At 41.5% G+C, this 27,822-nt stretch overlaps 1 protein-coding gene across 5 annotated transcripts, besides 4 other annotated features; it reads left to right on the top strand.

Moving 5' to 3' along the window:
- Nucleotides 1,390–1,890: an enhancer, noted in NCBI's record as "H3K27ac hESC enhancer chr3:119187474-119187974 (GRCh37/hg19 assembly coordinates)". NCBI's record gives its function as "activates a minimal SCP1, AML or CMV promoter by ChIP-STARR-seq in naive and primed H9 embryonic stem cells {active_cell/tissue: H9 hESC(naive and primed)}" and the evidence as "EXISTENCE:reporter gene assay evidence [ECO:0000049][PMID:30033119]".
- Nucleotides 1,390–2,002: a biological region, named in NCBI's record as "H3K27ac hESC enhancer GRCh37_chr3:119187474-119187974".
- Nucleotides 1,583–1,752: an enhancer, noted in NCBI's record as "active region_20303". NCBI's record gives its function as "activates an Ori minimal core promoter by ATAC-STARR-seq in GM12878 lymphoblastoid cells {active_cell/tissue: GM12878}" and the evidence as "EXISTENCE:reporter gene assay evidence [ECO:0000049][PMID:35858748]".
- On the top strand, nt 1,726–27,471 carry POGLUT1 (protein O-glucosyltransferase 1). 5 transcript variants are annotated; one of them, NR_024265.2, is made up of 11 exons: nt 1,726–1,869; nt 2,583–2,673; nt 4,072–4,215; nt 10,076–10,211; nt 12,671–12,935; nt 18,091–18,150; nt 19,596–19,695; nt 21,692–21,750; nt 23,314–23,481; nt 24,281–24,337; nt 25,045–27,471. NR_024265.2 is itself a non-coding variant. In NM_152305.3 (11 exons), exons 1-11 carry the CDS (start codon nt 1,785–1,787, stop codon nt 25,199–25,201), a joined length of 1,179 nt encoding a protein of 392 aa, NP_689518.1. In that variant the 5' UTR covers nt 1,726–1,784; the 3' UTR covers nt 25,202–27,471. The 5 variants fall into 5 exon arrangements, 4 of the variants coding, with proteins under 4 accessions (NP_689518.1, XP_047304551.1, XP_006713768.1 ...); NM_152305.3 differs by having other exon boundaries at nt 12,814–12,935; XM_047448595.1 differs by lacking the exons at nt 1,726–1,869; nt 2,583–2,673; nt 4,072–4,215; nt 10,076–10,211 and adding an exon at nt 11,097–11,237.
- Nucleotides 1,803–2,002: a silencer, noted in NCBI's record as "silent region_14630". NCBI's record gives its function as "represses an Ori minimal core promoter by ATAC-STARR-seq in GM12878 lymphoblastoid cells {active_cell/tissue: GM12878}" and the evidence as "EXISTENCE:reporter gene assay evidence [ECO:0000049][PMID:35858748]".

The following is a 27,822-nucleotide window of genomic DNA, read 5'->3' on the forward strand; positions in this document are numbered from 1 at the left end:
ACAGATTTGATCTTGTACTTCCCTGTATTTCCATATTTCCACAAGGCTTAGGGATATAACCATGTACATTTTAGAAAATAGATAAATATTGCTGGGCGCAGTGGCTCACGCCTGCAATCCCAGCACTTTGGGAGGTCGAGGCTGGTGGATCACCGGAGGTCGGGAGTTCGAGACCAGCCTGACAAATATGGAGAAACCCCATCTCTACTAAAAATACAAAATTAGCCGGGTGTGGTGGCGCAAGCCTGTAATCCACCTACTCAGGAGGCTGAGGCAGGAGAATTGCTTGAACCCAGGAGGCGGAGGTTGTGGTGAGCCGATATTGAACCATTGCACTCCAGCCTGGGCAACAAGAGCGAAACTCCATCTCAAAAAAAAAAAAAAAAAAGAAAATAGATAAATATTTGTAGTTCTATGATTACTAAATATATCTACACTGACCTATATATACCTGTATAAAGATATATACCTGTACTATACTATATACCTATATTGTCCAGTATCATGTTGCCCACTGTCAAGAAACAAAATTTCATCAAATTTAGTTTAAAGTTCTTGGCCAGGCATGGTGGCTCACGCCTGTAATCCCAGCACTTTGGGAGGCCGAGGTGGGCAGATCACCTGAGGTCAGGAGTTTGAGACCAACCTGGCCAACACGGTGAAACCCTGTCTTTACTAAAAATACAAAAATTACCCGGGCATGGTGACACACTCCTGTAATCCCAGCTACTCGGGAGACTGAGACAGAAGAATTGCTTGAACCCGGGAGGCAGACGTCATAGTGAGCCAAGATTGTGCCACTGCACTCCAGGCTGGGCAACAGAGTTAGACTGTCCTCTGTCTCAAAAAAAAAAAAAAATCGAATTGGCTTTTATTAGTGATTCATGAATCAGGCAGCATCTCATCTATAAAACAGAAAAGTGTTCTAATGAGCTGAGCAGAAGGGGTTGGGCTTATAGGCAGAAAAGGGCTGAAGAAAGCAGAAATAAGGAACAAAAAGCAGATTGGTCATTTTGAAGTTACTTTCCTCAAAGAGTTACATCAGAGGGGACTTCTTTATCATGCCAGCTCAGGTATATGGGCCCCTTCTCCTATTTGTTGGAAAACTGACCCCTTTTAAAGCTGAGTTTAATTACGCAGCACCTAGGACAAGTTGCCTCCATTCTGGTTTTGTCTGCTCTCTTGAGGCCTAGTGCCAGAGTTCTGTCCAAAACAACGACCTCCCATAAACTTTATTTAACACCATTGATCTTTTTTCCTACGTCTAAGTCACCCCAACTGTTATAAATTCCTATTACAAAGGGATCCCTGCTATGCTAATTGCAACCTTTGGGGTCTAACCGTGCTGTACACACACACACACACACACACACACACACACACACATGCTCAACAAATTTATGCTATTTGATAAGAGGCAATTTGACGTCAAGAGAAGAACTGTTTGGCCTAGGCTCTATGCCAAGTCTTGGTTGTGCCACTAACCGTGAAACATACCCTCTCTGACCTTCAGTTTTCTGGCTGCAGACCTATTTTCCCAGGGGTGCCAGGGAGGGAGGATAGGCAACTGGTCCATTCGTTTATCCTCCCCACCTTCCCGGCGCAGCCTTCTCAGGGAAACTCCGCCTCAAGGCTGGGGACTGGAGGAAGGGTGGTGGGGCCACGGTGGCCATCTTTGTGCGGGGCGACCCGCCGCCCACGTGCTGCGGCTCCCGGGCCATCTTTGTGCGGGGCCGCGCTTCCGCCAGCGCCGCAGCGGGGAATCTGCAGTAGGTCTGCCGGCGATGGAGTGGTGGGCTAGCTCGCCGCTTCGGCTCTGGCTGCTGTTGTTCCTCCTGCCCTCAGCGCAGGGCCGCCAGAAGGAGTCAGGTGGGCTCCGGGCAGTGCCGAGCCTGCCCCTTGGGCTCGGGGTCTGGCCGGAGTCCCGAGGCGCTCCCCCGCGCGGCCGGCTCCCGGGAAGATGCCGTGGCCGCTGTAGCTCGGAGCTGGGCAGAAGGCACCGGGGCGCCTTGCGGCGGAGAGTGAGGTGCCGGGGTCTCTGCTCCTGCTCTGGACCCTGGAGAGTAACCCATTCCCCGGAATTCAGAATGACAGGGAGGAGAGGGAATTCCCCGTTCACCCGCAGGAGGCGTGGCCCGTGCTTGGCTACTCTGGACCTGCCTGAAACACTGAGGGGTCGGGGATGGGGGCAAATGTCGTGCGCGCGAGCGTGTGTGTATATGCGTTGCCAGAAGAGAAGAGGGGTTTAATGTCTGTAGCTTTTAACTGATCCTCTTTGTGGAGTTCAATTTGATTAGTAGAAAGTGAGAGTCCGCGTCACTATCCATAGCATTCTGAGGGTTGAGCATTAAGCTTGGGAATTTTCCAGTTTCTTGGACACCTGACAGCCGGATAGAGGAACAGACTTGACGTGAGCGTGGGAGTTGCACACACAAAAATTCCTCCCTAGCGTTTCGTTTCCATCAGTGGGATGGGAAGGGGATTTCTGAAAGTTTTGGTCTTCTGTTTCTTCTGTTGGTGTGGTGTCAGCAAATAACATTCAGGAAAATTTTTTTAACTCTCATTTACTTCACTTTTTAAAGGTTCAAAATGGAAAGTATTTATTGACCAAATTAACAGGTCTTTGGAGAATTACGAACCATGTTCAAGTCAAAACTGCAGCTGCTACCATGGGTGAGTTCTTTTCTTTGATGTGTCTTTGAGAGTTTAGTTGCTGTCACAGGAAGTATTCTAACATCCTTGAGAGATTTTGGTTGCAGTGGTCAGAAAGGCAAGGATGTTTTTCTATTTCTGGGGAATAAAAATGCTCTCGCATGGGAAAGGCTCAGGTGGTGTCAACCTAACCACTGACTCACTGCGGGATTCAGTGCATGTGCATCTGTTTTTCCCACTGGGCTGCAAGCTTCCTGAGGTCAGGGTCTGTGTCTTATTTGCTGTTGTCTCCCTGGTGCTAGCTGTCAGTGCGTGCTCGATAAATATTGTTGAGGAAATAAACCCATCTATCGCTGAATCTAGTCCTAAATTTCCTGATGGTTATCTTTAGAAAATGCACATCAGGCTGGGCATGGTGGTTCATGCCTGTAATCCCAGCACTTTGAGAGGCCAAGGCAGGTGGATCACCTGAGGTCAGAATTTCGAGACCAGCCTGGCCAACATGGTGAAACCCTGTCTCTACTAAAAATACAAAAATTAGCTGGGCATGATGGCACGTGCCTGTAATCCCAGCTACTCGGGAGGCTGAGGCAGGAGAATCGCTTGAACCCGGGAAGCAGAGGTTGCATTGAATCCAGATCATGCCACTGCACCCCAGCCTGGGTGACAGAGTGAGACTCCGTCTCAAAAAAGAGAGAGAATGCACATCAGGGCCGGGATGAGGTATGGTAGAAAGATAACTCTGAAAACAGACTTGGGTGTTGGTGCCGGTACTCCCACTGGTTACCCCTGTGCCGAGCCACTTCAACTCCTCTGGGTCTCAGATTCTTCATCAGCTAAATAACAGGGTCTTTTAAGCTCCTTTTTATGTTATTTTTGACTCCTCAAAAAATTCCTTGGATGCTTATGATACTTATTGAAAACTTACTATGCACTCACTTTAAAAGGAATACAAAATAGTGTAATTTTGGTTACTGCTGTCACGCTACCAGAGTAAGGGCTTGTGGGGGAGAGTGTGGACCAGACAGACCAGAACAAGAGAGTCAGTGCTAGACTGTAAGGCGTAAACTTCACCTCCTGTGGGATTGGGAGGAGATGCCAGGAGGACTGAAGTGACTAGAAGGACACAGGTGTGGCATGAGTAGCGAAAGAGAAATACAGAACTGCCAAGGGAGGGGCAATCCAGATGGAAGGAGGAAGAAGAGACATTGACCCGCTTTTTACTTTTTATTGCTTTATTGCATTTGATGTTTCAGATTACCTACAGGGCTTCTAGGGAAGAGCTGCTCATTCTCACTCTCGATTCTTTCCTTCCACTTACTGTGTTCTCTAATACGAAACCTAAATGCACTTAGGAAGTAGGTGGAATGGCACCACTCTCTTGGCCTGCTTTCCTTGATGACTCCCATTCTTTCCCAGTGTCATAGAAGAGGATCTAACTCCTTTCCGAGGAGGCATCTCCAGGAAGATGATGGCAGAGGTAGTCAGACGGAAGCTAGGGACCCACTATCAGATCACTAAGAACAGACTGTACCGGGAAAATGACTGCATGTTCCCCTCAAGGTAAGAGTTAACGAGGTAGATATATCTTCTGACTTTATTACATATGGGCTTGATACCCTTTTATAGAGGAGCCAATTCATGGGACTAACAAGCAGATCCCTCCTCACATTTCAGGCGGACTATGAAATAGTGACGAGCTCTTCTCCTTGCCTGGGAATTTTTCTTGCGAGCTCCTCTCAAAGCCTGTCTCCTCTGTGAGGCTTGGTTCATCACTGGTTGTACTGGTGGTGGCTCTGCCTCTTCTGCTCCTTCCCTGGGATATAGTAGCGGCAGGACACAGGCTGATGAGGCCTAGCAGGCCTAGCAGGAGGGAGCTAGGCTGAAGGAGGAAGAGGAATTGGTTGAATGTCTGTCATCGGCCAGTGTAGTTCTAGATACTGAATATTCAAGGGGAGGTGGTAGAGTCAAGAGGAGTAACTAGATGGGGTGGTGGTGGCTCACACCTGTGATCCCAGCACTTTGTGGTGGATTACTTGAGCCCAGGAGTTGGATTATGGCAAATAATCCGGCAGTGGCAAATAATACAACAGAGTGAGACCCTGTCTATTAAAAAATAAATAAATAAAGAGGAGTAACTAGTGCTGCAAATTACACTAGCCAGGACTTCAGAACTTCAGGTGTGAGACCTGAGGTACCATGTCAGTGGGCTGAAGGCAGGGTGGTAAGCAGGGAGGGTCATGGGCTGAGGGTGGAGGTTGGGTTTAGGCAGCATTGCACACACCAAAAGATAAACTTTATTTTTGGAGTTTGTTTTTTTTTTTTAACTCAGATCTTTATAAAATTAGAAGGTACAAAACTCAGAGGGCATAATATTCCCTTATGTAAGAGCATCTTTCTAAACAATCCCTATTCTGTCATTAAAAGTGAAATAAATGTGCAGAGTTGCAAAAAATTATCGATTCGTTCATAAAGATTTGTATTATTTGTATTTAATAACAACTTTGTAAGAATTTAATATTTATTCTTATAAGTATATAAACAAGGCCGGGTGCGGTGGCTCAAGCCTGTAATCCCAGCACTTTGGGAGGCTGAGATGAGCGGATCACTTGAAGTCGGGAGTTTGAGACCAAACTGACCAACATGGAGAAACCCTGTCTTTACTAAAAATACAAAATTAGCCAGCTGTGGTGGCGCATGCCTGTAATCCCAGCTACTCAGGAGGCTGAGGCAGGAGAATTGCTTGAACCCAGGAGGCAGAGGTTGCGGTGAGCTGAGATTGTGCCATTGCACTCCAGGCTGGGAAACAAGAGCGAAACTGTCTAAATAAATAAATAAATAAATGTAAACAAGAAAACAGGCTGGGCATGGTGGCTTGTGCCTATAATCCCAGCACTTCGGGAAGTCAATGCACGCAGATCGCTTGAGCTCAGGAGTTCAAGACGAGCCTAGGCCACATGGCAAAACCTCATCTCTACAAAAAATACAAACATTAGCTGAGTGTGGTGGCATGTGTTTGTAGTCCTAGCTACTTGGGAGGCTGAAGTGAGTGGATCACCTGAGCCCAGGAGGTCAAGGCTGCAGTAAGCCTGAGCCGTGATTATGCCACTGCACTCCAGCCAGGGTGATAGAGCAAGACCTGTCTCAAATAAATAATAATAAAGAACAATAAAAAAGAAAGATTATTTAATATCTCACTACCCTGAGGAAATCAGTTACCCTTTGGCTATCAGATATCGGAGGAAATAAGGTTGTAGAGGAAAAAATCGTTAAGGTATTTTAAACAGACATTTGTTTCATTATTTGGAACTCAATAATAGAGACTTTAAGTACAAATTGTGAGTCTAGGAGAATTTTTGATTTCCACAGATGAGAAATAAAATAAGAATATAGACATTGTTGGACTTTGAAAGCTTACCCAATGTTTAATAGTTTGCTGAACAATTGCCAAATGAAATGAAATGCTTTCAAAGTTTCTGAAAGGCACAATTCTCTTCTTCCTGAGCTCAGAACATTTTGGTCATAATCATGAGCTTAGAAATGTTCTGAAGGGAGTACAGGACCTTCATTAGCAATAAAATAATATATATTTCCAATGACACTGAAAGTTCCCTATCCTAGCTACATATACAACTAAGGAAAACAGAGAGGGACAAAATACGAATAGAATGCAGTATTCCAAAACACAATCCTGAATGAAATGCACACAGTCGTATGATATCTCAAAGATTCCCATATAGTTAGAAATAATATCTTTCTACGTCTAGATACTTTTTTTTTTTTTTTTGAGAGAGAGAATCTCACTCTGTCACCCAGTCTGGAGTGCAGTGGTGTGATCTCGGCTCACTGCAACCTCTGCCTCCCGGGTTCAAGCCATTCTCTTGCCTCAGCCTGCTGAGTAGCTGGGACTACAGGCGCCCGCCACCACACCTGGCTAATTTTTGTGTTTTTAGTAGAGACGGGGTTTCACCTCGTTCGTCAGGCTGGTCTCAAACTCCTGACCTCATGATCTGCCTGCCTCGGCCTCCCAAAGTGCTGGGATTACAGGCAGGTCTAGATACTTTTAACTCATCCAGTTTCAGAAATCTATGTGACATTTTAAAAACTCAGTTTTGAATAAAATAAAATATAAACTCCACATTTCAAGGATGAGCAGAGGAACCAGAGGTTTATCTAATTAATGCTAGAGACAAGTCATTTCAAAGATGAGGAGTAATGGTATTTTTTAATAACAGCTTTATTGAGGTGTGGTTAACATAAATTACATATAAAGTATACAATGTAAATGTTCCCACAACAAAAAAATAGTATGTGAGGATATGTTAATTAGCTTGATATACTCATTCCACAATGTAAACATATATCAAAACATTACATTGTATCCTGTAAATATGTACAATTATTATTTATCAATTAAAAATAAAACCTACAGTGTACACTGATAAGTCTTCATGTATGTTTATACCAAGATAATGAACCTTCCATCACAACCAAAACGTTCCTTCTGCCTCTTTGCATTCCCTCTCTCCTGCGTCTCCCTGTCTCCCTCTCCTCCCCATGCCCCACCTTCAGGCAGCCGCTGACTACTTTCTCGAATTATAGATTATTTTCTAGTTTTCTATAAATGGAATCATATAAGAGAGTATATTTGAAAAGCCAAATGTGGCCGGGCATGGTGGATCACACCTGTAATCCCAGCAGTTTGGGAGGCTGAGGTGAGTGGATCACTTGAGGTCAGGAGTTCGAGATCACCCTGGCCAATATGGTGAAACCCCGACTCTACTAAAAATACAAAAAAATTTAGCCAGGCATGGTGGCAGGCGCCTGTAATCCCAGCTACTTGGGAGGCTGAGGCAGGAAAATCGCTTGAACCCGGGAGGCGGAGGTTACAGTGAGCTAAGACCACGCCATTACACTCCAGCCTGGTCAACAAGAAAGAAACTCCATCTCAAAAAATAAAAATTAAATTAAACTAAATTAAAAGCCAAATGTGAAAGAAATACGAGCATTTTAGCTGTAATGTATAAATTGTACTGCAATATTTTTTTACATTTTTTAACTAGTTTTTTTTTTCTTTTAGTGTCAAAGAGTATTACATACACTTTGGATATGTAAAATATCCAAATATTTTACCATGCTAAAATATTTGGATACCTCCAAAAGACATTCAGTGAAAAGGAAGTTTCTCTTCCACCTCAGACCCTCAGACTGCTAGTCCCTGAGACCTCTTTTCAAAAGACAATTAGAATTCTGTGTCTTGTATATCCTTCTAGAAATAGTCTGTACATTTACAAGCATCTAGACTCATCAACAAAATAAAACATGCTGTCTTCTGTTCTGCACTTAGATTTCTTTTCCATATAACAGTAGATTTTGAGATTGTTCCATAAGAGTCCATAGAGAATGCCTCACTTTTTCATGGCTGCATAATAACTTATTATATGGATTTCTTTATTCAGCCCTCTATCAGTGGACATTTAGATTATCCCTTACCACATCACTTTGCTTTTTGGATAACGCAAGCAATGCTGCAGTGAACATCCTTGTTACTGTGAACACTCATGTAAATATATATGTAGGCTAAATTCCTAAAAGTATAATAACTAGGGCAATTAATGTCATTTTAAAATCTTGATAAATAGGCTGGGTGAGGTGGCTCACGCCTGTTATCCCAGCACTTTGGATGGCTGAGACAGGCAGATCATCTGAGGTCAGGAGTTCAAGACCAGCCTGGCCAACATGGTGAGAACCTATCTCTACTAAAAATAAAAAAATTAGCTGGGCATGGTGGCCTGTGCCTGTAATCCTAGCTACTCGGGAGGCTGAGGCAGGAGAATCACTTGAAACCCGAGGTGGAGGTTGCAGTCAGCTGAGATTGCGCCATTGCACTCCAGCCTGGGCCACAGAGCAAGGCTCCATCTCAAAAAAAAAAAAAAATCTTGATAAACAGGCTGGGCACAGTGGCTCTCACCTGTAATCCCAGCACTTTGGGAGGCTGAGGTGGGAGGATCACTTGAGCCCAAGAGTTCAAGATCAGTCTGGACAACATACCAAGACTGTCTCTCCACACACACACACACACACACACACACACACACACACACAAACACATACAGAGTTGCCAGGTGTGTTGGCACACACCTGTAGTCCCAGCTACTCAGGAGGCTGAGGTGAGAAGATTGCTTGAGCCTAGGATTTTTGAGGCCACAGTGAGCCATGATCATGCCACTGCACTCTTCAGCCTGAGTGGCAGAGCGAGAGACCCTGCCTCAAATAAAAAAAACCTTAAAAAAAGAGAAATCTTGGTAAATAGAATCTAATTGTCCTACAAAGAGGCTAAACACTTCCACAACCGATATATCATATGCTGTGAATAGATCTCACACCCTTACCAACACTGCACTATTGGACTTTTTGATCTTTGCCAATCTGATTGGTAAAATTGGTATCTAGTTTCATTGACATTTCTTTATTATTAATACAGTTGAGCATCTTTTCCTATGTTTGTGAACTGTTGATATTTTTTGCAGTTATCTCCCTATATAAAAAACACTTTTTTTTTTTTTGGCTAGAGGAGCTCACTACATTGCCTACTGTGTCACTATGTTGCTGGTCTAGAACTCTTGGGCTCAAATAACCCTTCTGCCTAAGTCTCCCAAGTAGTAAAACAATATTTTAAATCAGTTATTTCCATGCTGCCAGAAAATTTTGATCAAGCCTTTGAATATTGCCCCTAGCATAGTGCTGGTCAGGACCTCAGAGGATGAGGCAGAAACAAGCTAAACTGTCAGTGTATCTTCTTTTTCTTTCAAGAAATCCCTGATTTCCCAGGGAATCTAGTCAGAAAGCTGTGTTACACTATTTATGATTATGTATATAACACTTTTTCTGGCTTGCAGAACTGATTTTGATAATGTTCTTTATTCAGGTTGAAGGTAATGAAAGGTTTTCTATCTGTTCTCATAAACTAGGAGACTTAATTATAATGGAAATAAAAATGGTGTCTTTGTGAGGAGCAAAGCCAAAGGAACACAGGTGGAAAATTAGCTATTTCAGCTATTACGAGAGTTTGTATCTTGTCTACTAATTAAACTATTCCATATAAGGGAAATAAAGAAAAGAACTGGAATGAATAAAGTGGTAGAAGTAGCAATAATACTCCCTTCAAAGCTATGACGATTTATTTGGAAAATTTTATTAAGTATTGTAAGCTGGAGCAGCTTAGCTATGAGTGAACTTGCACAATACAAAAAAGCAGAATAGCCCCTTTAGAAGCATTGTTTTCAGGAGACTTTGCAGTAGACTGATGATATGGAACACTGGAACACTGGCTTGTCTTACTTTAAAATGTGAATGGGACCTCGCCTTGTCCTAGAGCCTGCAGGCACTACTCTGCTGAATTTATGGTATGTCTGGTTGACAGGTGTAGTGGTGTTGAGCACTTTATTTTGGAAGTGATCGGGCGTCTCCCTGACATGGAGATGGTGATCAATGTACGAGATTATCCTCAGGTTCCTAAATGGATGGAGCCTGCCATCCCAGTCTTCTCCTTCAGTAAGGTAAGTACAGGGAGAGCCACATGGGTGGATGGAGAGTGGTCCTCTAGGATATGAGCATGAGATCTTTGTCCGGTGACATAGTCTGATGGATAATGGTAAGGATGAGGACTGAGGTCCAGAAATGGGTCTGTGTCTCTATTAGCATCACAGTGATTGAGCAAAAAGACAGAGGAGATGAAGTTGAGAGCTGGTAAGTAGTGTAAGATTGCTTGAGTGTCTATAGGGCTAGAGATGGAGGCTAGGGCGTGAGAGGCCTGAGAAACCTACAGGAATTAGAGGTGGGTCTTGAAGATCTTACAGAGCATGGGAGGAAGGGGTCCAAGAAAGCTTGGAGTTAGGGAACACCTTCATTCCAAAAGTTTGTTGAGCTCCTACTATGTATATATTCAGCCATAGTGCTGGGTATCAGCTGTCCCATCTGTCACCATATTCCGGGGGCCCAGGGTGGCTAAAAGTGAACCTGAAGGTGCCAGATAACTCCACACGGTGTGTGTACAAGCCGTGCATTGAAGGGATAGGCTGGAGATAGCCTAGAGGGCTATGCAAGGGGGTGATCTTTTAGACTCATCATGGAAGATTGGAGTAGCTAGGATACACCTGTGGGCTTGGGGAATTGGGGGCAAGGAATGTCTTGTCAGTGCTCAGGTTCATGTAAATGTTGTATCGGCAGGGATGGGCCTTGGTTCCCTAGAGACAAGGAAAGCATTTGGGGGTGAAGGCAGGAAGGCTAGAAGAGAGTGGATGGAAGATTCTATGGGGTAAGAGTGAATTGAGGAAAACCCCATGAAATTTGGGAAAAGGAACACTATTTCTGATTTGGTTTGTCTAAAGCAGAGGGACCTTTTATCCCCACTTTTTCTTTATCATAGTTTACTTTCTCCCTAGACTTGTTTTATTTCCTGTGTTGCAAGTGGGCAGAGGCCACATTTGTGTTGCATTTCCCATGGTCTAGCCTCATTTCTCGAAAGTGTTTGGTTCCATTGTTTGTCATGAAACTCACTCAGAAGAACAGATAGAGGCTCCCATGTAAGTCAGTAGGGACTTCGTGTTTGTTATCTATCTGTTGTTTCTATGGATAATAAAGTATGACCGTCGGTATACTAACTTTCCGTTCATCTTTACTTCCCTTCTGTTTTTTAAATCAGTGACTTCTAGTTTCCAAGGGAGAGTTTTACTCTGTCAACTTTATAGTTAATTGTGCAGCTTCTATTGAATAGCTGTTATGTTTAAGGTGCTTGATGAATCACATTTTTTACATATTTGAGAGACAGCAAACAGCATATTGCACATGTATTTCCAGTGGAAGAAATAGTAGAGTTAGAGGTTTATCAGTGGCCAGATTTTTAACAGAAGTAACCATAAAAAGGGAACAAATGGAGGCCAGGTGTAGTGGCTCACACCTGTAATCCCAGCACTTTGGGAGGCCGAGGCAGGTGGATCAAAAAAAAAAAAAAAAGGGGGGAACATATGGCTTTAAACTTTTTTCTTTTTTTTGAGGCAGAGTCTCACTCTGTTGCCCAGGCTGGAGTGCAGTGGCGCGATCTCAGCTCACTGCAACCTCCACCTCCCAGGTTCAAGTGATTCTCCACCTCAGCCTCCTGAGTATCTGGGACTATAGGCACCTGCCACCATGCCCGGCTATTATTTTGTGTGTATTTTTTAGTAGAGACAGGGTTTCACCATGTTGACCAGGCTGATTTCAAACTCCTGACCTCAGGTGATCTACCCGTCTCGGCCTCCCAAAGTGCTGGGATTACAGGTGTGAGCCACCGTGCCCAACCTCAAACTTCTTTCAAAAGATATGTGATAACACCCCTTCTCATTTTGCTCATCCATACTTCTGACCCCGATCAGTGAATAACCAAGAATTTATTGACCAATCAATGTGAGCCCAACAGTGCCATAGTATGAGATAACACTAGCCAATATTTATCAAGTATGTACAATGTGCCAGCTACTGTTCTAAGAATTTTACGTGTATCAACTCATTTAATATTCAAAATAAACCTTTTAGTTAGATCATATTATTGATATTATTGTTTCCCCCATTACAGTGATAAGGAAGCTGAGGCATAGAACCATTAAGTAACTTGCCTAGAGCTGTAAAGAGGTGGAGTCAGAATCCAAACCCATGTGATCCACATCAGGAGCCCACACTCTTAACCATTGCATGTATTTCTTGGCTCTTACTCTCAAAAAAACCCATTGGGAAATAACCAAAAACTGGTAAGACAGTGTAAACTCTTAAATGTAATAGTTAAACAATGAGAGAGCTCTGTGATTATTCAGAATTGGGCATATTGTTTCCTTAAATTGGAAATCTTAACAGTATATATCCTCTAGAAAAACAGAATTTGGGGGAACTGAAAAAGCTGACCTTTAATGTGATTCTGAATTCTGGAATTCAGTGAGCCCATGACTTTTAATCCATAGTCACTTTTGCCTTTTAATGTCTACAGGCTAGACTTTGGAAAATAGGGAAAATATATCTTTGACAATGTGACACTAAACCAAGGCTGTCCAGATCCTGTGGCATGATTGCAGTTGCCTCTTTTCACTGTTCCAAGACTGATTTAGGACGACCTGTCTGTTTTTGTTGAAGACATCAGAGTACCATGATATCATGTATCCTGCTTGGACATTTTGGGAAGGGGGACCTGCTGTTTGGCCAATTTATCCTACAGGTCTTGGACGGTGGGACCTCTTCAGAGAAGATCTGGTAAGGTAGGTCCTTTAAAGAGGTTTTATTTTTTCTCTTTCTGGGTTTTCTTGAAATAAGCCATAGAATATAACCAATTATTTACTTTTTTTTTTTTTGAGACGGAGTTTCGCCCTTTTTGCCCAGGCTAGAGTGCAATGGCGTGATCTCAGCTCACCGCAACCTCCGCCTCCCAGGTTCAAGTGATTCTCTTGCCTCAGCCTCCCGAGTAGCTGGGATTACAGGCATGTGCCACCACACCCGGCTAATTTCGTATTTTTAGTAGAGACGGGGTGTCTCCATGTTGGTCAGGCTGGTCTTGAACTCCTGACCTCAGGTGATCTGCCCACCTCAGCCTCCCAAAGTGCTGGGATTACAGGCGTGAGCCACCGCGCCCAGCCTATTTATTTTTAAGTGACTAATTTTTAAGTTAAAAATTAAAGACAGAAAACTGTAGTGTAAACAATTTTGTACGTGTCTAATAATATTTACATATCCATAGAAAGGGGCAGAATAGTCTATCCTAAACTATCAGCAATGCCTCTTTGCAAGGGATTATCAGAGACTTTTGTTTTGTATTTTAAATTTTTCTTTCTTTTTTTTTTTTTTTGCGACACAGTCATGTTCTGTCTCCCAGGCTGGAGTGCAGTGGTGCTATCGCGGCTCACTGCAACCTCTGCCTCCCAGGTTCAAGCAATTCTCTTGCCTCAGCCTCCCGAGTAGCTGGGATTACAGGCATGTGCCACCACACCTGGCTAATTTTTTGTATTTTTAGTAGAGATGTGGTTTTGCCATGTTGCCCAGGCTGGTCTGGAACTCCTGGCCTCAAGTGATCCACCCACCTCGGCCTCCCAAAGTGCTGGGATTACAGGCACGAGCCCCTGTGCTCAGTCAGTATTTTCAATTTTTCTATACTTAAGATTCTTTAAATAAGAGTGCATTCTTTCATAGTAAGAAAAAATGAATGACCTCGTCATAGGGGGGATAGAAAATTATTTGGAAGAATATAAACATACTTGGCAATTGAGAGCTAAGTAGTTTAGGCAGGGCTGAGGGAGCATAAATGTCCCATAAGCATCTCAAGTACAAGCTTATTCCAGATCCTCTCTGATTCATGACTGAGACATGCCTTGGCCTGTTGACTCCATCCTGCTATCATTTCAGAATTTAGATTGTGTAGCTCATCCAAGCTGTAGGTATTTCTTACCTAGCTACATTTTACATCATGATTCAAACAACTTTGGTGCTTAATTAGAGAACTTCCGGAAACACAGTCATTATAGGCCTTCTCTCAGGTATAAGGAAAGCAAACAATTCAACCTTGTTTCCATAAATACCTATCACCTCTCCCAAGTGTGGCTGAAGATTCAAAGAGGATTAAGGTAATATTCCCTTCCTGAAGAAACGTACAGGGCTGCAGTCCTCAGTGGTGGGTAGAGCCCTTTGTTAAAAAACAAACTTCTCTAGTGGGTATAATTTGGAAATTTTAAAAAATAATAACTTAGTCTCATATTTTACAGAACTGGAACTAGAAATTGTCTTTGTCCAGCCCTTTATTTCAGGGATAAGGGAATGAAGGTACAGAAAGGTTTAGTGATCTGGTCAAGGTCAGAAGCAAATCTAGGCCTAAAGACCAGGTTTCCAAGTGCATTATCCAACCTACTTTACTGGTTAATATTCCTTGTGTTTTCCTGACATTGAGACTGTCATTTCTTGTTTATTTTTGGGTTTTGAACATAATTTTGAGAGGGGGGGAAAAAGGTGTGGTTTTTTTGTTTCTTGGTTGTTTTTTAAAATTTTTTGTAGAGACAGGTCTTGCTATGTTTCCCAGCCTGATCTCAAACTCCTGGGCTCAAGTGATCCTCCCACCTTGGCCTCCAAAGTGCTGGGATTACAGGCATGAGCCACCACACTAAGCTGGAAAAAAGGTTTTAAACTTTTTTTTCCCTAAGTTATTCTTGGCCTTGGCCTTAATTTTCTAATCCTTTCCCCCCCTCCTCAGGTACTTGCAAATACCCTTTTCACATTCTTCTTTTTGTAGCTCTTTTCCCACCTGCCATGCAGCTGCTTTGTTTTCAAAATCTTTAAAAACATTTTTACTGATTATGAAACCTATATATGCTCATAAAATTTTACAAATATGTATAACTCAGGCAACTTTCCCCCTAACTTATTGGTGTATCTAAGTAATCTTTCCATGTCTTTGTTTCATGTCAGTACATATGAAAGAGTCACTTTATTTATTTGTTTGTTTGTTTATTTTTAAAAGGCAGGATCTCACTATGTTGCCCAGGCTGGACTCAAACTCCTGGGGTCAAGGTGTTATCCAGTTACTCCACCGTGTAGTTATTAATACCATTTTCCCCCAGGTAAACTAGTAAGCAATTTTTAGGCAGATAGAATGTTTTAAAGTCTAATCTTATATGAATACTTTTTTCTTTTGATACCTTCCCATTTTATTCAATTGAATTTATTCATGGTTATAGAAATACAATTTTGTTTTTTAGAACCCTCTGTTTAGAATCTCTAATGATGTTCATTTGTTACCTTGAAAATTTAATAATCTGCTTGTTTATCCATCTGCACTGATGTCTGCCTGCCACTGTTCATTCTATTTTTCTGATATTTTGGGAGTTTGTGCCCACTGATTTATATTTCACTCTGTAGAAGAATTCATTGTTCTTTACAGATCGAAGATTTCATTTGTTACTGTCAGAGAGGGTTTAAAAAAGAGGGCTGGGGTAGCACCAGGCTGTGGTGGCCACCGTTAGCACTTGCCTGGAGAAACAAGTCCTAACCTAGGTCTTTTGAGGGAGGATGGGTAGGTTAGGAGAATGAAAGAGAGAGAACAGTGATACACAGTTTGGGTTTGTGTATATGAAACACAGCTTCCCCAGGAGCCAAGGAAATAAAGAGAAGTAACTTTGAGTATAAATTGATACATGTTTTGTTAGATAGTTTGACAATATGTATCAAAATTGGAAATGTATACTGTGTATCCTTTGACCTAGCTGTTTCATGTCTAGAATGTATCCTAAGGAATTAATCAGATGAATGTGCAAAGATTTGTGTACAAGGATGTTTACTACCATGTTGTTTCTTAGAGCAGAAAGTTGGAAACTACCTAAAAGTCCATCAATAAAGGATGAAGTGAATCATAACATGACTATAAAATGGAATTTTTGCAGTGAGTCTTTGCCAGAGATTATAAAATGGAATATCGTGCATGAATGGAAAGGCAGTGTAGGTTTTAAAAACTCTGGGTTCAAATCCTGGCTCTTATTAGCTGCATGACTCTGTGCAAGTTGCTTAACCTCTAAAGGACCTCATTTGTAAAATAGGGGTGATAAAACCTACCTCTTAAGATTGTGAGAATGATTTTTTATTTACAAAGCACTTAAAACAATGTCTGTAACATAGTGAAGTGCTATATAGATGTTGGCTGTTATTATTATTTATATTTCCTATTAAGATTGTTACCTAACAGTATGTATGGTGTGACCTCTGTTACATAGAGCAAAGTTTCTCAGTACTAGTGTTGCTGACATTTGGGGCTGGATAATTCTTTGTCCTGGGAGCTGTCCTAACCACTGTAGGATTGTTCAGCAGCATTTCTGATCTTTACCCACTAAATGCCAGTAGCAGTCCCCTAGTAGTAACAATCAAAAATGTCTACAGACATGGCCAAATGTCCCCTGGGTGGGAGGGACGGGCAAAATTACCCCCAGTTGAAAGCTACTAATATGAATAAATGATTGCAAGGAAATTCTCGGCTAAAATGTTACATTGTTACCTCTGGACAGGGAGATTCCAGACGACTTCTTACTTTTATCTTTATGCTTTTTCATGAGAACTTTGCATGAGGAGCATGAAACATTTTCCACTAAAAACAAAACAACAAAAATCCAGTGCTATAGTGTCTCTGCTTGGGCAGGAAGAAGTATGGGGAAAACAAGATAGTTCTGGCCTTAGACTGGAGAATCAGGTAAAGGTGATCCATCCAGAAAAGGCCAGAGGATGAGCCACGTTGGCTGAGGGTGGAGGTCTGAGGGCCTGGAAAATACTGAGCAGCGTTCTCAGCTGAGTGAAAATGAGCAGCATGACATTATATGTATCTGAAAAGGACCTGTGCCTAGAAAGTTTATATCCTAAGTTTCTCCGTTACTGTAATCCAGCCCATCAATCCCTCATTAACTTCAGTTCAGCCTTCCCTTCCTTTTTCAGAGAAGATGCTGTGCAGACTTCTGTGCAGGGAGGGTTCCTACGAAGCAAGTTAAGAATGATGCATCTGTGAGCTAGCAGTTTCAGTAAGGAAGGCTGGTCATGGTAATGTGTACTGAGATCTGACTTTCAAGGACTTCATCTTTATAGAGCACTTAGTCTGGCTTTAAGAATACAAAGGTGCTTTTCAAATATCAAACTAAATCTGATGACACTTCCCACCTATGGAAAACATAAAATCAGAGAGTGATTTCCCTTTCATTCCATTTCTGATGCTTTTTTATTTTTTTGCAGTTCTGTACACATAATTAATTTCATCAGTAGCACCCTACTTAAAGTACAGAGGAAATCCACATTTGCCAAATTATAAACAGACCTAATCATGACCTTCAGGGTTTGGGGGCTTTTCTTTCAATGTTGTTAACTTGTTAATGGGGAGTAGATTTGTAGATACAACTGGGTAGCACCTCCAGAGCAATGAAATGGTAGCAAAAGGAAACAAAGTGTCCTTTAGGGCTTTTTCTTTTGAGTGACTTTGATTAGACTTACTTAGAAATATGAAGCTCTGGCCAGGCACAGTGGCTCACGCCTGTAATCCCAGCACTTTGGGAGGCCGAGGCAGGCGGATCACGAAGTCAGGAGATAGAGACCATCCTGGCTAACACGGTGAAACCCTGTCTCTACTAAAAAATACACAAAATTAGCCGGGCGTGGTGGCGGGCGCCTGTGGTCCCAGCTACTCAGGAGGCTGAGGCAGGAGAATGGCATGAACCCAGGAAGGGGAGCTTGCAGTCAGCCAAGATCGCGCCACTGCACTCCAGCCTGGACGACAGTGCGAGACTCCGTCTCAAAAAAAAAAAAGAAATATGAAGCTCTGAACTAATCTTCAGAAATGGTTAAAGCACATTCTTATATAGTTGAAAAAGATATATTGAAACTAATTAAATTCTATATTCTTAGGTCAGCAGCACAGTGGCCATGGAAAAAGAAAAACTCTACAGCATATTTCCGAGGATCAAGGTGAGTTATTTTCTGACATTTTACAAAGATATTCTTCCAAGTAATGTAAAATGTAAGTAACTTTGAGGGTATGACAAGCTCTGTAGTTCAAAGGGAAAGCTAAGATAACAAAGAAAGAAATGTGGAATCACAATTTTAGATTCGAGAATAATTCACATTATTTGCCGAAATCGCCATTGATTGAGTTGATATTCAAAGAAGTAAAGTTCATCCATTTCAGTCATTTAACAGATATTTTACATAGTGTCACAAATGTGTCGGTCATTGATTATGTGATGCCAAACACAACAGATGGGTGTCTTCTTACAGTCCCTAGGAGTAGCTTATGATCATGCCACGGTACTCTGCTGGTTAATGCAGAGCAGGACTCATCACCATATCTCTTGACTGCCTTTTTTATCACACCCTGTGGCTGCCAAATAGTGGTTAAGAGCACAGACTGAGACTGCTGAAAATGAAGAAGGGAGCAGGGAGGAAAGAGAAGAGAAAAATGGCAAAGGTAGTAGGAGGACCCTGTGTTGTTCAGCTCCATAGTCCCAAGGCCAAGAACAGTTCCTAGCATGTCAATATATGATAAATATCTGTGGAGCAGATGAATAGAAAAGACCATGAAGGGAGCAGGGTTTTGTAGTTTTAGCAAGTGAGTCCTTGCCAGAGATTATACTCCCTCTTCACCCTCCTCTTCACTTCGGAGCTAGACTTTAGGAGGTAAATGGATTATCCAGCTACTATGTCCTGTTTCTTACCAACTTCTCTGATTCTTAAATCTTGAAGTCACAAATTAACTTGGGGACCATGTCTGGACTTCAAGAGTTTTAGGACTCCCTTGAAATTATGTGAGGATATGTGCATTTTTCTGGGAAGGAGAGAGGGTTGGTTCATAGTTCTTAACAGATTATCAAGGAATCCATGATGCCTCACATGTCAAGACCCTCTGCTACTTGGAACATCACTAGAAATTCTTCCACATACAGTCGTCAGGTTTTTAAGCCCTTTGGTTTTTGTGCATTTTTTTTAAATTAAATATTATACTGGGCTGTACAGAGCATACATAACAAAGGTCATGTAGCTGTTTTAGTGAGTCGTGACTACCTAGCCTCACAGTTATGAGCACCAGTGATTATAGAAGCCACATGAACTTTCCTAAAAGGGAAATCATTCCCTGGGATTTGACTATAGTGACCTGAACAACATACCCTTCAAGACCAAATGCAAGCAAAGAAGGGCCAAGTACCCCCCAACCCTAAAGGTACAGAGGGGACCAGCCCTGGATGACCTAGATGCTGCAGTACCCAGTATACCCCTCCTCCGCTGTCACGTCACCAGTGAATTGTCCACTTGTGCAGAGTCATTGCATTGGGTCCTAGTCCTGCTCACCTTTCAGGGATTGGGAACAGTTTTCTAATACAGGCCACACAGTTTTATGTCACGTGTTTCTTTTATAGGACAAGTCCAGAACGAGATCCTCTCATTCTTCTGTCTCGGAAAAACCCAAAACTTGTTGATGCAGAATACACCAAAAACCAGGCCTGGAAATCTATGAAAGTAATCACCAGTCATCTGACTAGAACTACAGCAGTGAACATTCTCACTCAAAGAACATTGCCACCTGGGTAGAATTTGAGATTAGGTTTCCTGTCAGTGGTGAGGTGAATGTAAAGAAAGTTCCATGAACCAGCATTAGCATATATGTAAATTCTCCTTTTTCAAACTTACATTGCTTTTCTGGCCATATTATGACTAGTATATTGCACTACTTTGAAGGTTTAAACCAGGGGTCACAAACTTTTTCCAGGAAGGGCCAAATAGTAAATGTTGTAGGTTTTGCAGGTCGTATGGTCTCTATTGCAGTTGCCAACAGACATGGGCAGTTTGTAAATGAATGAGCCTGGCAGTGTTTTTATTAAAACTTTATTACGGCCAGGCATGGTGGCTCATGCCTGTAATCCTAGCACTTTGGGAGGCGAGGCGGGTGGATCACTTGAGGTCAGGAGTTCAAGACCAGCCTGGCCAACATGGTGAAACCCCGTCTCTACTAAAAACACAAAAATTAGCCGGGCATGGTGGTATGTGCCGGTAGTCCCAGCTACTGGGGAGGCTGAGGCAGGAGAATCGCTTGAACCTGGGAGGCAGAGATTGCAGTGAGCCGAGATCACGCCATTGCACTCCAGCCTGGCGACAGAGCAAGACTCCGTCTCAAAAATAAGTAAATAAAAATAAAAATAATAAAAAATAAAAACTTTATGGGCACTGAAATTTGAATTTCATGTAATTTTAAGTTGTCATAAAATATTATTCTTTTGCCTTTTTTTTTAACCATTTGAAATGTAAAAATTTCTTAGTCCATGACAAAAACAAGCAGTGGGTCAAATTTGGCCTGTGGGTCGTAGTTTGCCAACCCCTGGTTTAAATCAATGGTCTCAACCCTGGCTGTGCAATACAACCAGAGAGCTTAAGAAAATGAATCAAATGAGTCAGAATCTCTGGGAATGGTGTCCAGGAATCTTCATTTGTTTAAAACTTTTCAAGTGATTCTAAGGTGAAGCCAGAAATGGGACCGTTGGTTTACAGTCCACTCTCTCCTCTTAACTCTATGGCTTTTTGCCTTAATCAAAGAAATTAAAGCCCTAAACTTCCTTTATATGAAATTTCCATATACCATATGAGGATGCTATGAGGAAAAGCTTTAGACTTCTTGGGAGAAAACTAAGTAAATCTGAGGTGCATGTATTATTTCATACAGTTTTAATCAGGAGCAAGTGAGCTTAAGAAACTTTGTTGAATAATAAAAATATGAAAAAATGTGTTCATTTAGAACAAAAGTTGTTAGCATCTACTGTGGGAGGCTGCAGAAGCAAACAAAACTTGTCCCCTCATCAAGGAGTTTACCATCTGCTAAGGTGGATGGAATGTACCTGGGGATGTCAAACTCAGATGTCCCCAGGGGCCAGCAGGTGATGTCAAGAGGTGAGCAAGAGAGAATACTAACAGTTCCAAATGTTAATAAGAGCCCAGTTTGCCAGATCTTCCTTTTTATTCTCCAAGAAAGACTGGAAATCTGGATTTTTGCAAGAAATATCCTACCACCTGTAAATGTTGGCAATGATTTGATTTAAAAAAAAAAATACTTTGCATGCCCAACAAAATTTGAGCATGGGCTATATACACCCCTAAGGCCATCAGCCAGCACTTGGGACCTTCTCTGCATACATTATTTACACAGAGTGAAGTGTGCTGCAGGCTGTGACATCTGAATTCAAAGGAGGGCAACATGGCTTTAGGTGTGCTTAAACTTTAAAATCAGACGGGCCCTGGTTAAAACTCTGTCTTCTATTTAGAGCCACACTGACCTTGAGCAAATCTCAACTTCCAAAGCCTTGGCTTCTGCATTTATATAATGGGAATAATAATGTCTCCTGAGTATATTGATTATGAAGCTTAAATGAGGTAATGTTGATGAAATGTTTAACAATGCTTGCTGCACAGTGATCACAATAAATGCTGTTGCTGTTAATACTAATAACTTCCTTTCCACTTAAAGGATACCTTAGGAAAGCCAGCTGCTAAGGATGTCCATCTTGTGGATCACTGCAAATACAAGTAAGATTTGCAGGACTCCTCACTTTCTTGGTTTCCATACTGCTTTTGAAATAGCTTCACTTTGGGTGAGAACTTTAATATAAAGGCCCAGCTGGAGTAAATGAAAGTTGCATTAATTCATTTCACTGGCTTTTCCTCAGGGCCTAAATGCACTGACCTGAGTTCTGTGGCGACTGTAGAGAAGAATGGAACATGGTTCCTGCTTCCAAACAGCTGCATGCTAGCTAGTAATCACAGTAATGGAATTACCTCTCCATATGCCCCACCCACCCAATCATTGAAGTTAGAATAAATATTTCTCAGTTAATAAATATTAGAATTATTATCCTGGTGTGCTGGCATGCTCCTGTAGTCTTAGCTACTCGGGAGGCTGAGGTAGGAGGATCCTTTGAGCCCAAGAGTTCAAGACCAGCCTGGGCTACATAGTGAGACCCTGTCTCTAAGAGAAATAAAATAAAATTCTGGGACTAAGAATTAGATGAACAGGTAAAACCAGGTCTAGAGGAGGGCAGTGGTGGTGGGGGTGGCTCAGAGTTAGGAGTGCTAATGACACGCAGAGTAGGAGCTATATGGTGAAAGCAACTCTGGTTGGCGACAGGTGCGTGCATAAGAAATGCTGAGAAGAAGACAGCTTTTTTTGTTTTTTTTTTTTCCCCTGTGGGCAATCTCTGAAAATTGATTAGGTTTTCCTCATTCTCCTCTCTACACCAGGGGTCCCCAACCCCCTGCCATGGTACTGGTCTATTAGGAACCAGGCTGCATGGCAGGAGGTGAGCAGTGGGGAAGCGAGCATTACCGCCTGAGCTCTGCCTTCTGTCAGATCAGCCTTGGCATTAGATTCTCATAGGAGCACAAACTGTATTGTGAACTGTGTATGCAAGGGATCAAGGTTGCGTGCTCCTTATGAGAATCTAACTAATGCCTGATGATCTGAGGTGGAACAGTTTCATCCAAAACCATCTCCCCCACACTACCCATCCATGGAAAAATTGTCTCCCATGAAACTGGTCCCTGGTGCCAAAGAGGTTGGGGACCGCTGCTCTATACTTTAAGAGAAGAGGGTGATGTCCAGGAAGCAGTGGAGACCTTCGACCAGATGGGGTACACTAGAGGAAAAACAAGGCTTTGGGAGGCCATGACTAGTTAGAGACATTAGGCCTAGAAAAGCTTGTGAAATTTTTTTCACTCGTTTTATTTTATGTTTACCATTGAACATTTATTTTCTCAGATATGTTCCAAATCTACAAGCTGTCATTTCCTTCTGAGCCCTGTATACACTCTACCCGGCACCCAGCTCCTGACCCTATCTAGTGCTGTCTGGAGAAAATATCCCCTATTTTTCCTCACCCTGCCATTCCCAGAACAACCTGTAGTCCTAGCCCTGGTAAAGTGGCTGATAGAAACCACTTAGGAACATATTAATGTGTCCTTGAAAACTCAAAGTGGAAAGAGAATGGAGAGGAATCATAAAAGGAAAGAAGGGGAGGGGAGAATAAGCATAAAAGGTCATATTTGTGGCAGCAGGCATATAGTATCAAATGTATTTTGTTCTTTTTTCCCCAGGTATCTGTTTAATTTTCGAGGCGTAGCTGCAAGTTTCCGGTTTAAACACCTCTTCCTGTGTGGCTCACTTGTTTTCCATGTTGGTGATGAGTGGCTAGAATTCTTCTATCCACAGCTGAAGCCATGGGTTCACTATATCCCAGTCAAAACAGATCTCTCCAATGTCCAGTAAGCAGTTATCCCCCAATGCAGAGTTTCTAAAGACCCTTCCAATCTGCTTTTAAAAATGCCTTAATGCCTTAAAACCAGTCATGTAAGACATTTAGTCCTACGATTTTTTTCCATTGAAAGCTTTTTTTCCTCTTGGTTTGCATATATAGTATTGCATTATTATCCAAGTAGGCTATAAGTGGAATTTAATTTGAAAAAGCGCTTTAATACTGGTTTCAAATGAAACGTTCAGACAAAATGAAGTTAAAAAGCTCTAATCTCTCCAAGACTAAAGATAGGGATATTCAATCTTATTATATTGTCAAAAGGATTTTCAGATACAGCATGAGAATTGACTCAAGTGAAGCTTCAGCAAATTTCCTTTCATGACAGGAGGAGCTAGGAAGAAGTATAGAGAAGGGCCAGAGTTATCTGAATATTGTTATCATGGTGATATCTGTGTATATATATTTTTTTTCTATATATAAATATATTTATATATAAATATGTAAAATAATATAAATATCTAATATAATATATAATATAAATATACAAAATATATGTAAATATATAAGGTAACTTCTGTATTTTCTCAAATATGTCCCAAATCTACAATAGGGTATCTTTAATCAGTGTGTGGGGGTTTTTTTTTGTTATTATTTTGTTCTTGAGAGAACCCTGATATCTTTGCTTGAAGGAAATAATCCACCATCCACATACCTAAAATTATCCATAGACCTCAATCTATATCGTCTTTCTGACTTAGTGCCAATGAAGTTGGTCTATATTTCACAGTCTAAAATTCTTTTCATTTTAGAGAGCTGTTACAATTTGTAAAAGCAAATGATGATGTAGCTCAAGAGATTGCTGAAAGGTGAGTTCTGTTCATTTTCCCTTTTCCACTTTACTTTTTGTCATCCCCATTATGCCCTAGCCAAAGTTATCTGAATATTGTTATCATGGTGACATCTGTATTTTATCCTCATTATATGGAGATAATTCAGAACTAAACCTGTCCTGGGGGAAAACATACACACATGTCTACATATGCTTGTTTTAAAGGAAAAAGATGGGCCGGGCGTGGTGGCTAACGCCTGTAATCCCAGCACTCTGGAAGGCCGAGGTGGGCGGATCACCTGAGGTCAGAAGTTCAAGACCAGCCTAGCCATGGTGAAACCCCATCTCTACTAGAAATACAAAAAAATTAGCCGGGTGTGGTGGTGCGTGCCTGTAATCCCAGCTACTCGGGAGGCTGAGGCAGGAGAATCACTTGAACCCGGGAGGCGGAGGTTGCAGTGAGCCAAGATCGCACCATTGCGCTCCAGCATGAGCAACAAGAGCGAAACTCCGTCTCAAAAAATAAATAAATAAATAAATAAATAAAGGAAAAAGATTGTTAAGTTGTATTGCTACATGCATGTATGTGGATATGATTGCCATAGGGTTGGTTCTTGAGGCTCAAATGAATTAATTTATATAAAATGCTGAATAATGCTTGGCACAAGGTGAGCACTCAAATGCAGACTGCTATTATCATTAAATTCTGTGCTTTAACATTTTCTTGTTAAATCTTGTCTCTAGGGGAAGCCAGTTTATTAGGAACCATTTGCAGATGGATGACATCACCTGTTACTGGGAGAACCTCTTGAGTGAATACTCTAAATTCCTGTCTTATAATGTAACGAGAAGGAAAGGTTATGATCAAATTATTCCCAAAATGTTGAAAACTGAACTATAGTAGTCATCATAGGACCATAGTCCTCTTTGTGGCAACAGATCTCAGATATCCTACGGTGAGAAGCTTACCATAAGCTTGGCACCTATACCTTGAATATCTGCTATCAAGCCAAATACCTGGTTTTCCTTATCATGCTGCACCCAGAGCAACTCTTGAGAAAGATTTAAAATGTGTCTAATACACTGATATGAAGCAGTTCAACTTTTTGGATGAATAAGGACCAGAAATCGTGAGATGTGGATTTTGAACCCAACTCTACCTTTCATTTTCTTAAGACCAATCACAGCTTGTGCCTCAGATCATCCACCTGTGTGAGTCCATCACTGTGAAATTGACTGTGTCCATGTGATGATGCCCTTTGTCCCATTATTTGGAGCAGAAAATTCGTCATTTGGAAGTAGTACAACTCATTGCTGGAATTGTGAAATTATTCAAGGCGTGATCTCTGTCACTTTATTTTAATGTAGGAAACCCTATGGGGTTTATGAAAAATACTTGGGGATCATTCTCTGAATGGTCTAAGGAAGCGGTAGCCATGCCATGCAATGATGTAGGAGTTCTCTTTTGTAAAACCATAAACTGTGTTACTCAGGAGGTTTCTATAATGCCACATAGAAAGAGGCCAATTGCATGAGTAATTATTGCAATTGGATTTCAGGTTCCCTTTTTGTGCCTTCATGCCCTACTTCTTAATGCCTCTCTAAAGCCAAAAAAAAAAAAAAAGACAAAGCCTCTTAATAAATTTAATGGAACTATACATAGAACAGCAGCTCTTCCTCACCCTTTGCATACCTTTAATATTTTTCCTTCTTAAATTGGCCACAGCAGGGGTCATTCACACTCTCACTGTCTTGCAGGAATCACAAGAAGTCTTCATATGTGAACGTGCCATTCAGTTGGTAGTTAAGAGCATTCAACTTCAAATATATAGAAGATATTTGTTTTAGTGCAAATCCATGATGGAGTGCCTCCCTTTTCCTTTTTTCACTTTTTGAAAAAGATGTTTTGGGTAGTAGTTTAATATCTCAGGGTGCTCTTTCTAACATAGTAAAAAATGAAGAAAAATGTTTAGATTAAAACTCTGTAGTCTGATGACTTAGAACCATCCTTGACCCTTAGGCCCAACCTTTCCACAGAGAAATCACCTCTCTTCCTTTGTCTTTTAAGAACTATTTGGTATTAACTAGTTTCAGAATTAGTAAATGTGAGATTCAGTCACATAATTATCAGACATTCCATTTGTCAGAAATGTATTTGGCTTTTTAAACTCCTTTCCACAAAAGTTTAAGTCTAATGACCTTCTTAGAGAAGTTGAGCATGCCTGGCAAGATCATTTCATGGAATAAGCAGATGTTTAAAGTTGGATTTTTTTTTTTTTTTTTTTTTGAGTACTAGCAATGCACAGGGACCGTGTTCTTAGGTTCTTAGTCTGTGAATCTAGCAATAGGCAGTCCAGATTTCTGAGTCGTACTATGGTTTTGCCTTGTCACTGTGAGGCCCTACTAGGTGTAAGCATTCTCTCTGAATTTTAATTTCCTCTCATTAAAATAGGAACAAAATTTGCTATCCTTTAGATTAGGAGCTGAAGATTCATTTCCCTGGGAATGTTTCCCATTTAGCTTCAAGTTTCAGCTCAAACATCACCTTCTTTCTGACTCCTTTCATTCATTCCTCCAGGCAGTAAGGGGCTACCATAGTACTTTGTTTATGCCTGTATTATATGACATCACTGTAGTTGCTTGACTGTTTCTCCTACTGTTCTGTAAACTTATTAATGGGTGAGAATCTAATTTTACTCATCTTGATGGCTTCATGATCCAGCACAGTGCCTCACACAAAGAACTATTGGGTGGGTGGATGGATGGATGGAGGAATGGAGACAGTTGGCTTAACCAGATCCTATATACAGATTATTACTGGCTCCAAAGGATGAGTAGATAAGACCATAAGAATTGGATCAATGTAAATCCTCACCTGCCCTTTGAAGAGCCAATAAGGGCATCTTTGTCTTTAAATACAGCAAATGTTATTCAGATTTTGTACTTGTCTATCTGTTTACCTCAGTGTAGATGATATGAGGATGGTATAACTATGTAAATTGTTTTTGAAAATAATTTGTTTCCCCACAACTTTTGAAGGTTTTATTTGTTGTTGTTATTACTAGTTCAGTCCCAAACTTACCCTTTCCTTTTCAGAGAGCTAATGGCCATGCTTTTCTTCAAGGAAAGAATAATTTATTTGAATGAAGTGGGATACTTGCATAACACAAATAATGCTTTGTCTTTATTTATTTCGGGAGTGTTATCTATGTGCTGTCAGTGACCCACCTTATTCTACTATATCAGTTCAGATTTTCCTAGTGGTCAAGAACAGAAACTGCCTCTAGCTAGTTTAAGCAAAGTAACTTACTAGAAGGACATGAGGGCATCTCGTGGAATCTAAAAAGGTTTCACAGTGGTTAGAAGGATAGAAGCAAGGGCACCTCCAGGAATCTCAGCAAGAATTTTGACTGTTTCCAGGGTGCTACTATAATGCAGTTCCATTACCTATTGGGCTCTGTCTCAGCTCAAAATTCCCAAGGACAAAAACTTTAATGGACTCATTTGGGTCACCTCCAAGAG

The sequence above is a fragment of the Homo sapiens genome, chromosome 3, assembly GCF_000001405.40.
Source record: "Homo sapiens chromosome 3, GRCh38.p14 Primary Assembly".
In the NCBI taxonomy this organism is placed as follows: Eukaryota; Metazoa; Chordata; class Mammalia; order Primates; family Hominidae; genus Homo; species Homo sapiens.

Bases quoted from the DNA above. Each gene is read 5' to 3' on its own strand.
- POGLUT1 (NM_152305.3), top strand. From the start codon at position 1,785: ATGGAGTGGTGGGCTAGCTCGCCGCTTCGGCTCTGGCTGCTGTTGTTC. The intron at 12,936-18,090 runs GTAGGTCCTTTA...CTATATTCTTAG, and splicing joins TTCAGAGAAGATCTGGTAAG to GTCAGCAGCACAGTGGCCAT. The intron at 24,338-25,044 runs GTGAGTTCTGTT...TCTTGTCTCTAG, and splicing joins GCTCAAGAGATTGCTGAAAG to GGGAAGCCAGTTTATTAGGA.